The sequence below is a fragment of the Homo sapiens genome, chromosome 12, assembly GCF_000001405.40.
Source record: "Homo sapiens chromosome 12, GRCh38.p14 Primary Assembly".
Taxonomy (NCBI): domain Eukaryota; kingdom Metazoa; phylum Chordata; class Mammalia; order Primates; family Hominidae; genus Homo; species Homo sapiens.
In genome coordinates this window covers 64,558,945-64,577,324 of record NC_000012.12, presented here as the reverse complement: position 1 = coordinate 64,577,324, position 18,380 = coordinate 64,558,945, and the positions used below count along the sequence as shown (strand labels likewise).

The window sequence follows — 18,380 nt, the reverse complement described above, 5'->3', positions numbered from 1 at the left end:
GCAAGTGGAATTTCTCCCAGCCTCAAAGATGGGGAAAGCTTAAAGGGCATGCATGAGTTTCATCATCAGTCTGTCAACAGGGCTAGAAATAGAAGCCAGAATTCCTGCCATCACAACCCTTATGGGGCAGGCTAATCTTTTAAGAAACTCAGCCGAGTAGCGTTTAACAACCTGTAATACATTTTTGGAAAAAATAGGATTTCTCAAAGAAAAGAAAGTCATTCCCTTCTTTCTTAGTTTATCATTCATAGAAAGACTATGCAACAATTTTGGGAATCATTTTGAGAAAACTTGCTACCCTAGACAACTATTTTTTATTTTTTGCAAAACACCCTTTGGTCCTTGGCCTGATGCACTCATATTTTCCATAGTTGTTATTATAGCATGCATGCCACTGCTTCCTTTACTTTGTATAATATCATACTCTTCCATGTTCCCATACTTCATCATCAAGTTTTTTTTTTTTTTTTTTTTGAGACAGGGTCTCACTCCATTGCCCAGGCTGGAGTGCAGTGGCCCAGTCATGGCTCACTACAGCCTCAACCTCCCAGGCTGAGGCTCCCATCCCACCTCAGCCTCCTGGGTAGCTGGGCCTACAGGCATGTGCCACCATACCCTGATAATTTTTGTATTTTTTGAAGGGCAAGAGTTCTCCACATTGCCCAGGCTGGTCTCAAACTCCTGGGCTCAACTGACCTGCCCTCCTCAGCTGCCCAAAGTGCTGGGATAACAAAAACAGGTGGCCAGATTTGACCTGAGGGCTGTAGTTTGCCAATCCCTGGTCTATGTATCAGTTACTTCCTTTGTAATTAGTGGTTTTTGTGTCCTGTTTAATAAATCTTTTCCTACCCCCAAGATCTTAGAGATATTCTCTTGTGATATCCTCTAGAATCTTTATTGTTTTAGTTTTCACATTTAGATTTACATATAATTCAATTGGAGTTGATTTTTTATGTATACAGTAAGATAAGGGTCAAGATTCTTCCTTCCTTCCATAGATATTCAACCGTTCCAGAAGGATTTATTAAAAAGACCATTCAAGGGCACCACGTTTGTCATAAATTAAGCATCCATAAATGTGTCAGTCTGTTTCTAGGCCCTCAGTTCTGTTCCTTTGGTTTGTTTATTTTTGAGCCAAAATCACAGTCTTAATTATATTGGTTTAATTTTTCTGTGAAAAAAATCCTCCCATTTTTGTCTTCTCCAAGATTGCTTTAACTATTCTTGCTTTAACATGGAGAAACCCTGTCTCTACTAAAAATATAAAATTAGCCGGGCATGGTGGTGCATGCCTGTAATCCCAGCTACTTGGGAGGCTGAGGTAGGAGAATTGCTTGAACCTGGGAGGGGGAGGTTGTGGTGAGCCGAGATCGCGCTATTGCACTCTAGCCTGGGCAACAAGAGCAAAACTCCGTCTCAAAAAGAAAAAAAAAAAAAAAAAATCTGTCGAGAATTTTCAGAATGTACCAAGGAGATAAATTTGGGGACAATTGACATATTTACAATTCACAATCGAATATTGACATATGGAGTCTTCCAATCATGAATATGATGTAACTCCTGTTTTTTTTTTCTTTTTCCAAGGCCTTCAATCATGAGTGACAGATTATAAATCATCCTTACACTGAAGTGCACCAGAGTCAAATAAGCATCATTTGGCTTTCTCTCTCTTTTAAAAAAATCTTTAGTTTTTCATAATAGTCTTCTATATGGAGATGTTGAAAATCTTTCATTTGTTTTATTCCTAGATATTTGATTGAAAAAACAAACAGAGGTGAGGTTGCCCGGGCTGGAGTGCAGTGGCCATCCTCAGGCACGCTTATACTGCATTACAGCCTTGAACTCCTGGCGTTAAGTGATCCTCCTACCTCAGCCTCCCGAGTAGCTGGGACTACAGGTGTCCACCACCACGCCTGGCTAATTTTTTGTATTTTTAGTAGAGACGGGGTTTGACTGTGTTAGCCAGGATGGTTTCGATCTCCTGACCTCATGATCTGCCCGCCTTGGCCTCCCAAAGCGCTGGGATTATAGGCATGAGCCACCACGCCCAGCCAGATGTTATATTTAAACATTTCAGTTTACAATTATTTTTGTTACTGGTATATAGAACATACAATTGGTTTATGTGTGTTGATTTGAATTCAGTGACCTAGATAAAATTCCAAAACTTGATCTGAAGGTTCTTTAGGATTTGCTATGTACATAAATGACAGCTTTCTTTCTTTTTTTATCCTTATTTCTGTTATTTCTTTTTCTTGCCTTATTGCATTGGCTAAGGTATCCATTCAAGGTCAAATAGAAGTGGTAGCAGGCAAACTTAGCAAGTTTCCAGTTTCAGAGGAAAGCTTTTAGCATTTCATCATTAAGTTGATACTTGCTGAGGTATTTTTGTAGATAACCTGTATCAATTAGCTTTTGTTGGATAACAAAAGAACCACAAAGCCAGTGATATATAACAATAGATACTTATGTCTTACACATATGTGGCAATCAGGTGATCTGGGCTATGCTTAGCTAGATCACTCTGCTGGTCTTGGCTGAGCTCATGCATGCATCTGCAGCTCAGCTAGGAGCTCTGTTCTCAGCTAGGCTTGACTGAGTACCTTAGCTGGAGAACTCATGTTCTACGCATTTCATATCTTCTTCCTGGAACCAGAAGGAGCAGCTTAGGCAGGTTCTTTTCATGGTAAAGAGTAGAAGAACAAAAAAGCAAACCCCAGTAGGCAAGCTCATTTCAAATTTTTACTTGCATCACATATGCCAATATCCCACTGGCCAAAGCAAGTCATATGCCTGAGTCCAGAGTCAAGGGTAACTTTGCCCATGATTGAGGGCATTGCAAAATTATATAGCAAAAGGTGTGAAACAGGAGGGGCAAAGAAGTGCAATCTACTATATGTTATTTTATATCTTATTTCCAGAATAAGAACAATTGCTCCCATTTCTAGTTTGCTAAGGATTTTTATCATCAGTGGATATTAAATTTTATCAAATATTTCTTTTTTTTTTTTTTTAAGACAGAGTCTCGCTCTGTCGCCCAGGCTGGAGTGCAACAGCATGATCTTGGCTCACTGCAACCTCCGTCTCCCAGGTTCAAGCCATTCTCCTGCCTCAGGCTCCTGAGTAGCTGGGACTACAAGCCCCAGCCATCACACCCGGCTAATTTTTGTATTTTTTTTTTTTTAGTAGAGGCAGGCTTTCACCATGTTGGCCAGGTTGGTCTTGAACTCCTGACCTCAAGTGATCCGCCCACCTCGGCCTCCCAAACTGCTAGGATTACAGGAGTAAGCCACTGTGCCTGGCCCAAATATTTTTTTAATCTATTGAGGTGATCATATTTTTCTCCTTTGTACTATTAATATGACACATTACATAGATTGATTTTGAATTATTAAAGTAACCTTGCTGTGGTGGGCAGCCTGTGGGGTGATCTGTGATCCCTGACTCCTGCTGTTGACACCCTGTCTAATCCTTACTTTTGAGTGGGGGCTGGATCTAGTGACTTGCTTCTAATGAATAGAAAATGGCCATGGTGATATGAAAAGTCATTGCTGAGGTTAGGTTACAAAGATTTAAACTTCAATCTTTCTCAGCCCTTCCTCCAGGGAAAGCAAGCTGCCATGTTGTGAAGGCTGCTTTGGAGAGGCCCAAATAGCAAGGAACTGTCTCTGTCCAACAGCCAATGGGACCTGAGACCAATAAATACACATGACTGAGTTTGGAAGTGGATCCTTCCCTAGTCAAGCCTGGGGCATTAAATGAATTTATAAATGGAGGTAAAACATGTAGAACAATTGTGGCACCTAGTAAAAGCTTAATACAATTTAGCAACACTACCTCTGAGTTTGCCTTTTCATATTTGTTAAATGGGGATAATATGATCTATTCCATTGGATTGTTGTAAACATGAAATAAAATAATGTATTAGTAAGCACTTAATGAATAATCACTACTGTTTATCTTAACTGCCTAAACTGCTGTTTAGATGAAAAGTGTTTTTGTTTGTTTGTTTTTAAGACAGGTTCTCACTCTGTCACCCAGGCTGGAGTGCAGTGGTGTGATAACAGCTCACTGCAGCCTTGACCTCCCAGGCTCTAGTGATCCTCCCACCTCAGCCTCAACTAGGACTACAGAGGCATGACACCATGCCCAGCAACTGGGTCTCACTAAGTTGCTCAAACTGGTCTCAAGTGATCCTCCCACCTCATCCTTCCAAAGTGGTAAAATTACAGGCACGAGCCACCATACCTGGCAAGAAGAAAGCTTTTTAAAAATAGGAATTGCATTTTGGGCTGGGTACAGTGGTTCATGCTTATAATCCCAGTGCTTTGGGAGGCCGAGGCAAGAGGATCACTTGAGGTCAGGAGTTTGAGACCAGCCTAGGTGACAGAAGGAAACACTGTCCCTTGAAAAAATTTTAAAAAGAAATTGCATTTTATCGACCTTTGAATTCTCTAACATAACAAAAATAGATGTTCAATTAATGGTTTGGAATTGACACATTCAATCTGTCTTTATATATGTGAAACAAAAAAACAAGCTTCATAGACTTGGACAAGTTGGAAATGTAACCTCTGTTTCTTCATCTATTAAGTAAAGACACTAGACTTACTTTCTGTGATTTCTTCAAGCTTCGTTCGTACATTTATTCACTCTTTCATTAATTTAGTAAATATTTATTGGGCCCTATCATATGCCGAGCTCTGTGCTTGGTGCTGGGGTTCAGTGATGTGCAGAACAGATGTGGCTTGTGTTCTCATAAAATTTACTGTCTGTATTCATCTGCTCAGGCTGCCATAACAAAATACCATACACTGATGGCTTAAACAACAGAAAGTTATTGCCTCCCAGCTCTGTAGGCTGAAAGTCCAAGATCAGGGTACCAGCATGGTCAAGTTCTGGTGAGGGCTTTCCTCCTGGCTTGCAGAAGGCTACCTTCTCACTGTGTCTTTATATGGCAGACAAAGAGGGAGACAGAGCATGCCAGTGACAGCAAGCTCTCTGGTGTCTCATCTTACAAGGGCACTAATCCTATCATGAAGGTCCCCAGCCTCATGGGCTCATCTAAATCGAATTGTCTCCCAAAGATTTCTCTCCCGAATTATCTACATTAGGTGTTAGGGTTTCAACATATAAATTTTGGGGGAACACGATTCAGCTCATAGCATAGTCTAATAAGAAGACATAAATAATCACACACACACACACACACAAGTCTACAATTACAAACTGTGATCAGTGCCATGAAGGCAAAGTTCATGAAGCCATGGGAGGAATTAACCAGGTAACTAGGTCTAATCCCAGGTAAGGAGTAGCTTATGAACGTCATAACCTATGAATTCTAGGATTGGTGGAAGGCCCTTTGTCCTCCAGCTATCAGAAAGAAGAGAATAAAGTAAGTGATTCTGGCACCAGCAGAATCCCAAAATCACTGCTTGTCCCCACTGTCTATACCAGCAAGCCTTACTTTGTGTATGCAGCAACTCATAGCTGGGCATGGCCAAGCACTTGGGAACCTGGGAAGAGAGAGGAGACACCATATGGACAGAATTTGTTCCCCATTTAAATGTATGCATTGGAACAGCACAAAAAAAAAGTGTCACGAATCTCTCTGCAGAACTTTTACGATAGGGAGATAATTGCTGGAAATTACTGTATGGTGCTGTTAACACCAGATCAGAAGAGGCTGCCAAGCTTGGCTTCCTCCCACCCCCATGGCAGCCAAAAAACACAGGTGTCTTAAAGAAAAAAAAGTACAAAGGAGAATGCTGAATGATCAGGAAGCTTATGTGTGCTGAAGCCTCAGCCCAGCCCAGCACATCTCCAGACAGATGTCACTGAACCCACTTTCTCCTTTGCTGCCAGGTCATAACAAGGCTTCCTGATTGTGCTCACTGGTGTGGGTTTGAGGATCATGTTCTCGTTTCCTGTGGCCAGGTAGCCTCATGATTCTCTGAAGTCCATGTCCTGAAAAAGCGACAGCCCCTCTTCTTTGTCTAAGGATCGCAGGGCCTGGCATCTGCAGTGTGTCATTATAATGCACCAACCTGGGCAAGCTTGGAGACAAACTATCATTCTTTTATTTTTGTTTTTATTTTTATTTTTATTTTTTTGAGATGGAGTTTTGCTCTTGTTGCCCAGGTTGGAGTGTAATGGCGCGATCTCGGCTCTCTGTAACCTCCACCTCCCAAGCAATTCTCCTGCCTCAGCCTCCCAAGTAGCTGGATTACAGGCGCCCGCGACCACACCCGGCTGATTTTTGTATTTTTAGTAGAGATGGGGTTTCACCATGTTGGCCAGGCTAGTCTTGAACTCCTGACCTCAGGTGGTCCACCCATCTCGGCCTCCCAAAGTTCTAGGATTACAGGCATGAGCCACTGCGTCTGGCCTTTAGACACTTTTTATCCAAAAATCTGGCTTGCCAGATGACTTGAGTCCCCCAAGGTTAAGAAGTGTCTCCAGTTCGTCCTCTGGAGCAGGGTAGGACACTTCACGGAGCCACGCTGAGATGACAGAACCCTCATGTTTTCAGTGCTACCCAAAAAGCTCGTGAGAAATGCTGCAACTGACATTAATCCAAAAGCAGCTTCGATTCTTTTGGGTATTGTTCATATACGATAGGAGGGATGGGGTGGGGGAAACGCAGGCAGCTAAACAGCTCTTAGAAAGACAATTTTTCCCTTTGTTTTTGGCTGCTGGATAGAAGTATATTTCAATTTTCTAGTCAGCAAGTTAAGCCAGCTGCACACACAGTGGCTTGACAAAGAAGGAGGCTAGTATGAAAAAATATTAAAATGCAAAACACATTTCAGAGGCAGCCTTCTCCTCAAATTGCGTGGTCACAGGGAGAATTCATAAATCAGAAATGAGGTCAAGTGTTGGTGTTGAGTTCAGCTCTGTTTGTCCCTTGATATTATTATTATGATGCCCAGATGAGAAATATAAAGGAGAGAAGGCCAAGCGAAAACATCTGTCCTCCTAATCCATCAGCTGCAAAACATCAGTTTTAGGACAGCACCAAAATAAGCATTCCAAGAGAAGAAATCTGTATAATCAGCATCGGCCCATTTTTTAATTAAATCAGTCATTTACAAAGACACACCCTTGGTTTGGGGTTCAGGTTTCAAAAGAAAATAGTACATCCAGAAATCTATGCTCTAAAGCTTGTGAACTTTATAGGCCAAAGTCTGAGTGAGCCAAGGTCAAATCTGAAACAGCCAAGGCGGAAGGTAGAGTGAGCCACAGTTGTTCACAAGCTTAAGGGGTGAGGAGAAGAAAGTCAAATACATTATAGGCAGACCCGATATTTTTAGTGGGCTGTTTGTCCCCTAAAGATGTTTTTGTTGTTGTTGTTGTTTTGAGACAGAGTTTCACTCTTGCTGCCCAGGCTGGAGTGCAGTGGCACGGCCTCGGCTCACTGCAATCTCCGCCTCCCCGGTTCAAGCAGTTCTCCTGCCTCAGCCTCCCAAGTAGCTGGGATTACAGGCATGCGCCACCATGCCTGGCTAATTTTGTATTTTTAGTAGAAACAAGGTTTCTTCATGTTGGTCAGGCTGATCTTGAACTCCCAATCTCAAGTGATCTGCCCGCCCCGGCCTCCCAAAGTGCTGGGATTACAGGCGTGAGCCACTGCGCCCAGCTTAAAGATGTATTTTTAAGTTGCTTACTTGAAAAGACCTAGGAATACATTTCCTCATAAGAACAATGACTTTAAGATACTCGTATTCTTGGATCAGCCCACAGAATTCCATTAGGGACAGTGTAACTAAAAATCACCTCTGGTCACCCTAACATCCCCAAGGGAGATGGAGCTGGGAGGAACTGGTTGTAACTCATGGCAACGTTCGGGAGAGATTTTAGCAGCCAGGTGGGAAGGGGCCAACACCACAGGTGTGGAGTTTGTGCACTGCACAAAGCAGCTGGCTGGAGGCCAAGAAGAGGCTGAAATCCAGCCTGCCCTCTACCAGCCAAGCTGAGGCTGCAGCGTAGGGCTGTGTCAGCTGGAGCAGGGGCCTTTTTCTAACTTGTGCAAAGAGCTCTGGCCCAGATAAGCTCTAGAGGTTCCAATAGTTACAGCAAAGCATGGCTTTTCTAGAAGAGAGTATCAGTCCGGGAGAGGCAAGAGAGAAGCTGCCATTTACACACACATTTGTATGTCTGGGTCACTGAGCACTTGAGTGGGTTTACACTTGGCCCAGCCAAAACCTCTTCTTGCAGCCAAGCTTAGTCCTCTCCAAATTTTCTCATACTACTTTGAGACTCCCTAGTTGACCTGGCTACTTCAGTGAGAGGATGGCAATTAAAAGTGAACTCATGGCTGGGCACAGTGGCTCACGCCTGTAATCCCAACACTTTGGGAGGCCGAGGCAGGTGGATCACAAGGTCAGGAGTTCGAGACCAGCCTGGCTAACATGGTGAAACCCTGTCTCTACTAAAATAATACAAAAATTAGCTGGGCATGATGGCTTGTGCCTGTAATCTCTGTTACTTGGGAGGCTGAGGCAGGAGAATTGCTTGAACCAGGGAGGCGGAGGTTGCAGTGAGCCAAGATCATGCCACTGCACTCCAGCCTGGGTGACAGAGTGAGACTCTGTCTCAAAAAAAAAAAAGTGAACTCAGAAAAGGCTTATTACACCTTAGGGCTGGGGTTGGTGGGTGAATGAGAAGAAGATACCTCTGGAAATTTTCAGTAGAACCGAACCCCACCAAACAGACTGGGGAGTGCCTGACTGCAGCTCCTGCTGTGGTGGAATCCAGAAACTGTTCGGAGACAGAGGAAGGGGAAGAAGGAATTGCCGCCACATGGTGTGTTGGGGCCGTGAGGAAAGGGAGCTGCAGGAAATGGCCCCACCCAACTTGAATGAGGATGAATGATCCTTATCAAGGCCTCTGTTGTAATAGAAGAAAGGCAAACAAATGGTTCAAATAAACAATTTTCTGATATATATATGTTTTACCACACACTCTCACAAGTTTAAAAAACCAAACAAGCGGCCAGGCATGATGGCTCACGCCTGTAATCCCAGCTCTTTGGGAGGCCAAGGCAGGTGGATCATCTGAGGTCAGGAGTTCAAGACTAGCCTGGCCAACATGGTGAAACCCCTGTCTCTACTAAAAATACAAAAATTAGCTGGGTATGGTGGCCCACGCCTGTAATCCCAGCTTCTCAGGAGGCTGAGGCAGGAAAATCACTTGAAGCCAGGAGGCAGAGGTTGCAGTGAGCCAAGATCGCGCCACTGCACTCCAGCCTGGGCAACAGAGCGAGACTCCATCTCAAAAAAACAAAAAACAAACAAATAAAAACCAAACAAGCAAACACAGACACCACGGACACATGCATGCCTCAGGATGTGAGGAGAAAGATGTGGGGGTCTATGTAAACACTCTCTTCTATCCAGCCTCCAACTCGAGTTAGAGCAACAGCAGTAGCTTCACCCTGCCCGATGGAAAGGCTGTGTCTCCCATTACGCCTGCCTGGGCAGCAGGGACAGATGTGGACACCCCACAGCCCAGCAGTGCACGCTCTGCAGAGGCAGCTCTGGTGTGTGGAGCCACATCTCCCAGGCCAGTAGCTCCATCAGTGCGACTTGTGAGACTCTTATCAGGGAACAGGACGTTAGCAGTTGCAGTTCCAAAGTGTATTATTCAGGGCATGTCAACTGTCGTAGGGAATCCCAAAATCCTAGTCTTCATGCTGTAGCCCACTGTGGCTGAGCCGTCACTCAGGGCCAGGCTCCTTCCACCTCATGGCTGTGTCACTGTTAGTTTCCCAAAGATGTCTCTGTTCGGTCAGTGGAGAGGAGAGAGAATAACGATTGTGCAGGAGAGGTTTGAGGGGCCAGGGCTGAGAGTGGCCAGCAGCATTTCCACTCACATTTCATTGGCTGGAACACAGTTACTGGCCACACTTAACACAAGGGAGGCTGGGGAAGAGAATGTAGCTGTGTGCCCAGGAACCAGAGGAGATGATGGGTATGGTATTTGTTTGTGACCCCCAGGTAGGAGATTCCTTCCATTCCTTTGTATCTGCACTTGTTCAGGTAAGAGAGTTGCTGCTGTGACTGTGACTGATAAAGGCAGGGCCAGGAACCAGGGTGTAACTATCATCCTCTTATGTTCAGGCAAAATGTCACCCAGGGCCTCCCACGGGGCATTGGTGTGGTCACCCACGCCTTTGTCTCCCAGCCTGGCTCCTGCAACAGGTTTCCTCTAACCAGGCCTCTTTTGAAATTGATCTGCCCCAACAGTTGCAAACCCCAGCTGCTCCTTTACTTCCTCCACCAGTAGCAAGAGAATCAATTATCCCTGCCCTCAGTGAACCACCGCGTTTGCTGATCTGCCAAAGGATAGGATTCAAGGTCTCAGCCTTGCCCACAAAGCTACACTTAATCTGGACCTAATCGCTTCAGCAATTGCTTTTTGCCCTCGGTCCCCACCTGGCAACAACAAAAACACCACCTCAGAGTTTTAGGAATCTAGAAACCCTACCCCTCAGGGGAGACAGGGACAGGCATGCATAATAACTTCCATTTGTGTAGAATGGTGAGGAAAGTAAATGCTCACCATCTTTAAGGCTGAGTCTCACTGTGGGCTTCTCACAGTGATAGCCTGTGGTTGCTTCGTCTCTAGCTATGAAAATTCCCGAGCATCTCTGTGTGGAGCCCTCAGTTCATATTCATTTTAGACTTCTCAGTGTTGCCATTTTAGGATTTATTCATTACCGTCTCTATCCTCTACTTTTTCACCTCTACTCTTGGTAATTTTGACAATGAGCCTCATGACTGAGCAGAACTGAGGCTCTGTCTCTCCTTTCAGGACCTTTTCAGGCATCCAGGTCTGTTTGATATACTTGCCGAGTTCCCACCAGGTGCAAGGCCCGACTGGACACTAAATTTTGAGGCCAGTGACCTTGCTTCCAATGAGTTCTGCTTTGGAATGTGTTTTTCAAATGCTTTGTAACAGTGCCATGCAAATGGATTCAATGGTAAAATTAAAAAATGTAAAACAAGATGGTTTGCATTCCTTGGTGAATAAAAGCAGAAATGTCTAGGATGGCAAGCATTCTTAGAAAACCTTCTCTCCTCTCTTATTCTAAATAGAGTTCTGTCAGCAAGACTTTTTTTTGAGACAGAGTCTCACTCTGTCTCCCAGGCTGGAGTGCAGTGGCACAATCTCGGCTCACTGCAACCTCTGCCTCCCGGGTCCAAACGATTCTCCTGCCTCAGCCTCCTGAGTAGCTGGGACTATAGGTGCCTGCCACCACACCCAGCTCATTTTTGTATTTTTAGTAGAGATGGTGTTTCACCATGTTGGCCAGGCTGGTCTCGAACTCCCAAACTCAGGTGATCCACCCACCTTGGCTTCCCAAAGTGCTGTGATTATAGGCGTGAGCCACCACGCCCGGCTGCAAGACTCTTCTATCCTTTTTTTTTTTTTTTTTCTGAGACGAAGTCTCGCTCGGTTGCCCAGGCTGGAGGGCAGTGGCGAGATCTCGCTTCAGTGCAACCTCCGCCTCCAGGTAAAAGCAGTTCTCCTGCCTCAGCACCCCCTAGTAGCTGGGATTATAGGCTCATGCCACCACATCCAGCTAATTGTTTTTGTTTGTTTTTTTGAGATGGAGTCTTGCTCTTGTCCCCCAGGCTGGAGTGCAATGGCGTGATCTTGGCTCACTGCAACCTCCGCCTCCCAGGTTCAGCAATTTTTCTGCCTCAGAAACCCCTAGTAGCTGGGATTACAGGCGCACGCCACTGCAGCCGTCTAATTTTTTTATTTTTAGTAGAGACGGGGTTTCGCCATGTTGGCCGGGCTAGTCTCAAACTCCTGACCTCAGGTGATCCACCTCCCTCGGTCTCCCAAAGTGCTGGGATTACAGGCATGAGCCACCGCACCTGGCCTAATTTTTGTATTTTTAGTAGAGATGAGTTTTTGCCCTGTTGGCAAGCCTGGTCTTGAACTCCTGATCTCAGGTGATACACCCGCCTCAGCCTCCCAAAGTGCTGGGATTACAGGCATGAGCCACCACGCCTGGCCAGCTCTTTTATCCTTTAGGTATCAGTAATTGGTGCAAAAAGACACCCTCCCCTCAGTGCCCTCCTAACAGTCTCCAAGTTGGACAGAAATTTTTCTCTATTCATGGACCAGGCTTTTTTTTTTTTTTCTGATTCTCAAGATATTTGTAGTTTACCTTCTACTACTTAAGTGTGCCAGTTTAGTTTGAGGTTGTTAAAAATATACCCAAAAAGTAGGCCAGGTGTGGTGGCTCACACCTGTAATCTTAGCATTTTGGGAGGCTGAGGCAGGTGGATCACCTGAGGTCAGGAGTTCGAGACCATCCTGGCCAACATGGTAAAACCCTGTCTCTACTAAAAATACAAACAATAGCTGGGCATGGTGATGCATGCCTGTTGTCCCAGCTACTTGGGAGGCTAAGGCAGGAGAATCACTTGAACCCAGGAGCTGGAGGTTGCAGTGAGCCGAGATTGCACCATTGCACTCCAGCCTGGGCAACAGAGCGAGACTCCCTCTCAAAAAAAAAAACAAAAAACAAAAAACACCTAAAAAGTGTTGAGCTATAACTACATTGTTTTCTTCAATAACGCATTTCTCTGTTGGAGATGGCAGCTTGTAGAAATGTGTTAGGGAGGGCTGGGCGCAGTGGCTCACGCCTGTAATCCCAGTGCTTTGGGAGGCCAAGGCAGGCAGATCACCTGAGGTCGGAAGTTTGAGACCAGCCTGACCAACATGGAGAAACCCCATCTCTACTAAAAATACAAAATTAGCCGGGCATGGTGGCGCATACCTGTAATCCCAGCTACTTGGAAGGCTGAGGCAGGAGAATAGCTTGAACCTGGGAGGCGGAGGTTGTGGTGAGCTGAGATCATGCCATTGCACTCCAGCCTGGACAACAAGAGTGAAACTCTATTTCAAAAAAAAAAAGAAAGAAAAGAAATGTGTTAGGGAGAGGAGGCCTTTACTGAATTTAGGGGGCTAACAAAGAATCAGTCCCCAATCCAATAAAGTTAGTACAGTAGTTTTCAGAGGGCAAGGGCCCCTTGGCTTCTTGTTTATAAAGATTCTCTTTAGAAATTATGCAGACTCCATTGTCAAACAGCAAATATTGTCTGTCAGTTGACAGTTGAAGTCAATACTTACAACTGACAGTGTATAGAACAACAAACCCCAACATTTGGGATACTGTATATTGAAAGCCAAAAGATTTATGTCAATGATCAAAATCCGCAATGACATTAGCTATAAGGGGACCATGTACATCAAAGGTACTATTCATTCATGTAACACACACGTTGTTGAGAACCCACTCCATGCCCAGCTGGGGTGGGTGCTAGGGATGCAGCTATGAGCAAAACAGACAGAGCCCCTTCGCTGATGAAACTTACATTCTAGATGGGGGAGAGAAGAAATAAATAAAATGATGTTGCATAGTGGTAAGTCATATGAAGAAACTAACAGAGTATGTAATATGTTAGAGGATGTGGTAGTGTGGAGGCTGCTTTAGTTTGGGTGGTCAAGGAAGGCCTCATTGAGAGATGACATTTGAACTGAGACCTGAATCAAGGAGCCAGTTGAGAGAGGATGTGGGAGAATATTCCAGGCAGAATGAACGCAATGGACCTCAGGACTGAGCTTGGTGTATTTAATGGACAGAGCAAGAGTCAGCAGAGCTGGCGGTGTATAGTGATTGAGCAGGGCAGGGGCATGAGCCAAGATCAGCAAGGTAGGCAGGGGCTAGATCTTGAGGGCCTTCTAAGGCTTGGTAAAGCATGTGGATTTTACTTTAGGGAAGTAGGGATTTTAACATCAGATGTAATCTGATTTACATTTAAGAAAATATTCTGGCCAGGTGTGGTGGCTCATGCCTGTAATCCCAGCACTTTGGGAAGCTGAGGTGGGAGGATCACCTGAGGTCAGGAGATCGAGACCAGCCTGGCCATCATGGTGAAACCCCATCTCTACTAAAAATACAAAAAAATTTAGCCGGGCCTGGTGGCAGGTGCCTGTAATCCCAGCTACTTGGGAGGCTGAGGCAGGATAATCGCTTGAACCTGGGAGGCGGAGGTTGTAGTAAGCCGAGATCACGCAATTGTCCTCCAGCCTGGGCAACAAGAATGAAGCTCCATCTCAAAAAAAAAATAAAAATAAAAATAAATAAAAGACAGAAAAAAAGAAAAAAATATTATGTGGCTGCTATATTGTAAAGGAAGCAGAGAACAAAGATAGGAGGCTGTTATATTGGTATGAGTGAGATGATGGTGGCTTTGACATGCAGTAGCTGTGGGCATAGAGAGAAGTAGACGGACATTGGTTAGATTTTGGAGACAGAGACAATTGAATTTGCTCATGGATTGGATTTGGGGTGTAAGAAAAAGAGAAGAATTGGGTTGGGCACAGTGGCTCATGCCTATAATCCCAGCACTTTGTGAGGCAAGGGTAGGAGGATCACTTGAACCCAGGAGTTCAAGACCAGCATGGGGAACAAAGTGAGACCCTGTCTCTACAAAATATATTTTTAAAAAACATTAGCCAGGTGTGGTGGCATACACCTGTAGTCCTAGCTACTTGGGAGGCTGATGTGGGGGGATGACTTGAGCCCAGGAGGTCGAGGCTGCAGTGAGCCGTGATCAAGCCATTGCACTCCAGCCTGAGCAACAGAGAAAGACCCTGCCTCAAAAATAAAATAAATAAAATTTAAACACCCAGGAGAATAGAGGAAGTTTCCCCAGTTTTTAGCTTGAACAACTAGCTGCAGAGGAGCATCATTTATTTAGAAGAGAAAGATGGGGGTAGAGACATGGAAGAGCAGTTTCGGAAAGGATGGAAAAGCAATGGTTTGATGCTGAAGTGCATTTCATTCACTCATATGAAGATACTAGGAAGGCAATTTGAACTATGACCAAATTGCCTACCATGGGTCTCCTAACCAGGATGTCTAAGGAGCTTATATATGCAAGATAAATGCGGTGGGTACTCAGGTGCAGTGCCTCACACCTGTAATCCCAGCACTTTGGGAGGCCGAGGCGGGCGGATAACTTGAGGTCAGGAGCTTGAGACCAGGCTGGCCAACATGGCGAAACTCTGTCTCTACCAAAAATACTAAAATTAGCTGGGTGCGGTGGCGCACGCCTGTAGTCCCAGCTACCCAGGAGGCTGAGGCAGAAGAATCTCTTGAACCAGGGAGGCAGAGGTTGCAGTGAGTCAAGATCGCACCACTGCATTCCAGCCTGGGCAACCACTGCATTCCAGCCTGGGCAACAGAGCAAGACTCTGTCTCAAAACAAACAAAAATAAATAAATAAATAAATAAATAAATAAATAAATACTATGGGCCATGCACAGTGGCTCATGCCGTAATCCCAGCAATTTGGGAGGCTGAGGTGGGTGGATCACTCGAGGTCAAGACTTTGAGACCAACCTGGCCAACATTATATTTGTATACAAATACAAAAATTAGCCAGGCGTGGTTGGGCTCGCCTGTAATCCCAGCTACTCGGGAGGCTGAGACACAAGAATCATTTGAACCCAGGAGGTGGAGGTTGCGGTGAGCTGAGATCATGACATAGTGAGACTCCATCTCAAAAAAAAAAAAAAAAAGATAAATGCTAAAGAGGTGCAGAGTACTCTCTGAAGCAGGAATGGTTGTGACTCCCTGAGGCATTTTTTGTTTTAGTGGCTCTCTTGATGTTATGGAAGTGCATTATACAGGGGTCTTGTTTGGATATTCATTTTGACTCTGAGATCAATGAGCTGTTCAGTGGTACTACTTGGGACTTTATTGCCTCCAGGGAGCTTTTAGAAATGAGGTGGTGGGGGAGCAATTTTGTTTGTCATGATGCAGGAGGTCAGGGAGAATACTGGCATCTAGTCCCTGGGGCCAGAAATGCCAAATGTGCGGCAATGCGTGGAATATCTTCACACAAAATAAAATGGTCCAATCTGAAATGCATGTGCCTTGGGAAAGTTTATTTTAAATTTTAAAGTTTCTCTTCTTTCATCATTAAAATGAAGACATCACGTGAAATCATCTCTGAGGTTAGATCTGGCTTCCTTATACTATGACTCACAAGATACACAAACAATAGTGATATAAGTAGCCTTCAAGGGACCTGGTGGGAGGCTGTGGCCATGAAAATGCATCCCTCAGCTCTCCGGCTGCAGGGAGCATAATTGACTAATGGCCACAGCTGCAGACCTCTGGACCCACCCCCATCTCATTTACAGAACGCCCTTTCTACAAGCTGCTGCTAGCCAATGACTGAGCAAGCAGGGCACAACTAATACAGACTCATTCTGTACTAATACAGACTCATTCTTTACTAATACAGACTCATTCTTTACTAATACAGACTCTTTTAATGACGGACTTTGGCTCAAGGATGCCCCATCAACCAGGCTGAGCAGCTTTTGTGACTGCAGCCTGAGAGTCTCCTATCAGATCCTCCTTCCTTCCCCGTCTCTCACAGAGGTCAGACCTGCTTTGCGTCTGAAGGCTCTTCTTGCCTATTTCGGCTCCTCTCCTTTATCCCGCACAAGTATTCCCTAAGGAGTTTCCTGCACATCCAATCCCATCTTAGCTTCTGCTTCTCAAAGAACTCAGACTAACCCGAGTAATGTCAGCAGTGGTCTGAGAAAACAAGAGTAAGATGGGGTTTGGAGACTGGCTCCCTCATTGCCCAGTAGGCTAAGAGGATGCTACCCTGAATGATATACGGGGCGTGGATAGTTCCTCGCACAATGTGGTGGTGCAACTGCTAAAGATTTCATCAGTGGTGATTCAGGAAGATGTCCTGGTGGAGGAGAATGCAGTGCAGGTGCAGAGATCCAGGCATTGGAGAGCTATGGTTGTGGGGGAATGATAGCTACAGGGAGAGCAGAGTTGACTGATTACTGCTAAGTTGTATTGACATCCCACCAAGTGATAACAAGCAATAGAGACTGTGAGAGCTAGAGAACCTGTTTGGTAGCTTAAAAAAGGGTCCTCCTCTCCTGCAGTGGAAGAACTGCCACAGCTGAGCCACAGACTGAGGCTCTGATAGTCCTAGAGCTCTAGAGATGCCTAAATGCTCAGCTAAAGCAAGTCAGTTAAGCTAAGGTCAGGGCCCTGTTTGGAGGAATCTGGGACTCTGAAACATGGGATGGGGGCATCTGAATGCATGCCTCTCAGGATGTTGACTTGGCAGAGCCCTCTGAACCCTCCAGGTCTGCCGGGCTGGCCCATCATTTCATAGTAAGAACTACCACTTTCAAAGGCTGGCTTCAGGAGACCTGGTGGGAGGTTGTGGCCATGAAAATGCATCCCTCTCCAGCAAGGCAACAGGTTGCCCTCTCAGGAGCTGCCCCCAATTCCTCTACTGTCTCCCAAGCCAATAAACAAATGCAGTATAATCAAGACAGGGAAGGGCTGGGCCTGATAGGGAAAAAAGAGATTATATATCAAAGGACCTATAAGAATTAGCGAGCAGGAACCAGTGGAAAACTTTGGAATCAGATTTGGGAGTACTTGTTCAAGGAGACTAGAAAGTAAGACTAGAAAAGCAAGACTTCCTTGACTAGAGGACAATTTTGGGGGGGACACAGGCCCCTGATAAGGACCCCAGAGGATGAGTGAAACTCACTGCTAAAGTGGCTCTTAGAAGCCTGCTGCAATATTAGGCCATGCTGAGAAAAGTGGAAATGCTTGAGTTGCCCTGGCAGGTGGCAGAGAAAAGAATAAAGAAGCTAAGGAAAATGGACCCACAAGGGGCCAGGCGCGGTGGCTCACACCTGTAATCCCAGCACTTTGGGAGGCCGAGGTGGGCAGATCACGAGGTCAGGAGATCGAGACCATCCTGGCTAACACGGTGAAACCCCATCTCTACTAAAAATACAACAACAACAACAACAACAACAAAAACAACAATTAGCCAGGTTTGGTGGCAGGCGCCTGTAGTCCCAGCTACTTGGGAGGCTGAGGCAGGAGAATGGCATGAACCCGGGAGGTGGAGGTTGCAGTGAACCGAGATCGCGCCACTGCACTCCAGCCTGGACGACAGTGTGAGACTCCGCCTCAAAAAAAAAAAAAAAGAAAAAAAGAAGAAAAGAAAATGGACCCACAGGACCCAGAGGACACGCCGTTCACCAGTGCCTTCAGGACTTGAGAGGGGCACCAGTATCACTAAGCAGTGGTGGCCCTCCTCCGCAGGTCAGCGCCGATGGCAGAAGTGACAGTAGCAGAGCTGGACTCATTAATATCCATGGGAATATGAGGCTCCAGAGTGTCAGGAGCCAGGCAGCCACAATCACCAGTATGACTAGCAAGGTCAGGCTGCAGCCAGAGGGCTGGACCTGAAGGGAGCTGTGAGACAGTAGAGCACGGTGTCCCTAGG

General features: G+C 45.4%; 1 protein-coding gene and 1 non-coding gene across 3 annotated transcripts in view; both read right to left on the bottom strand.

The window, feature by feature from the left end:
• Positions 1-18,380, bottom strand: part of RASSF3 (Ras association domain family member 3) — a 190,601-nt gene that overhangs the window by 120,240 nt on the left and 51,981 nt on the right. The gene's annotated exons all lie outside the window — the stretch shown is intronic.
• On the bottom strand, positions 1,584-1,660 carry LOC124903098 (small nucleolar RNA SNORD83). The gene has a single exon (XR_007063623.1). It is a non-coding gene; the product is annotated as a small nucleolar RNA SNORD83 (small nucleolar RNA).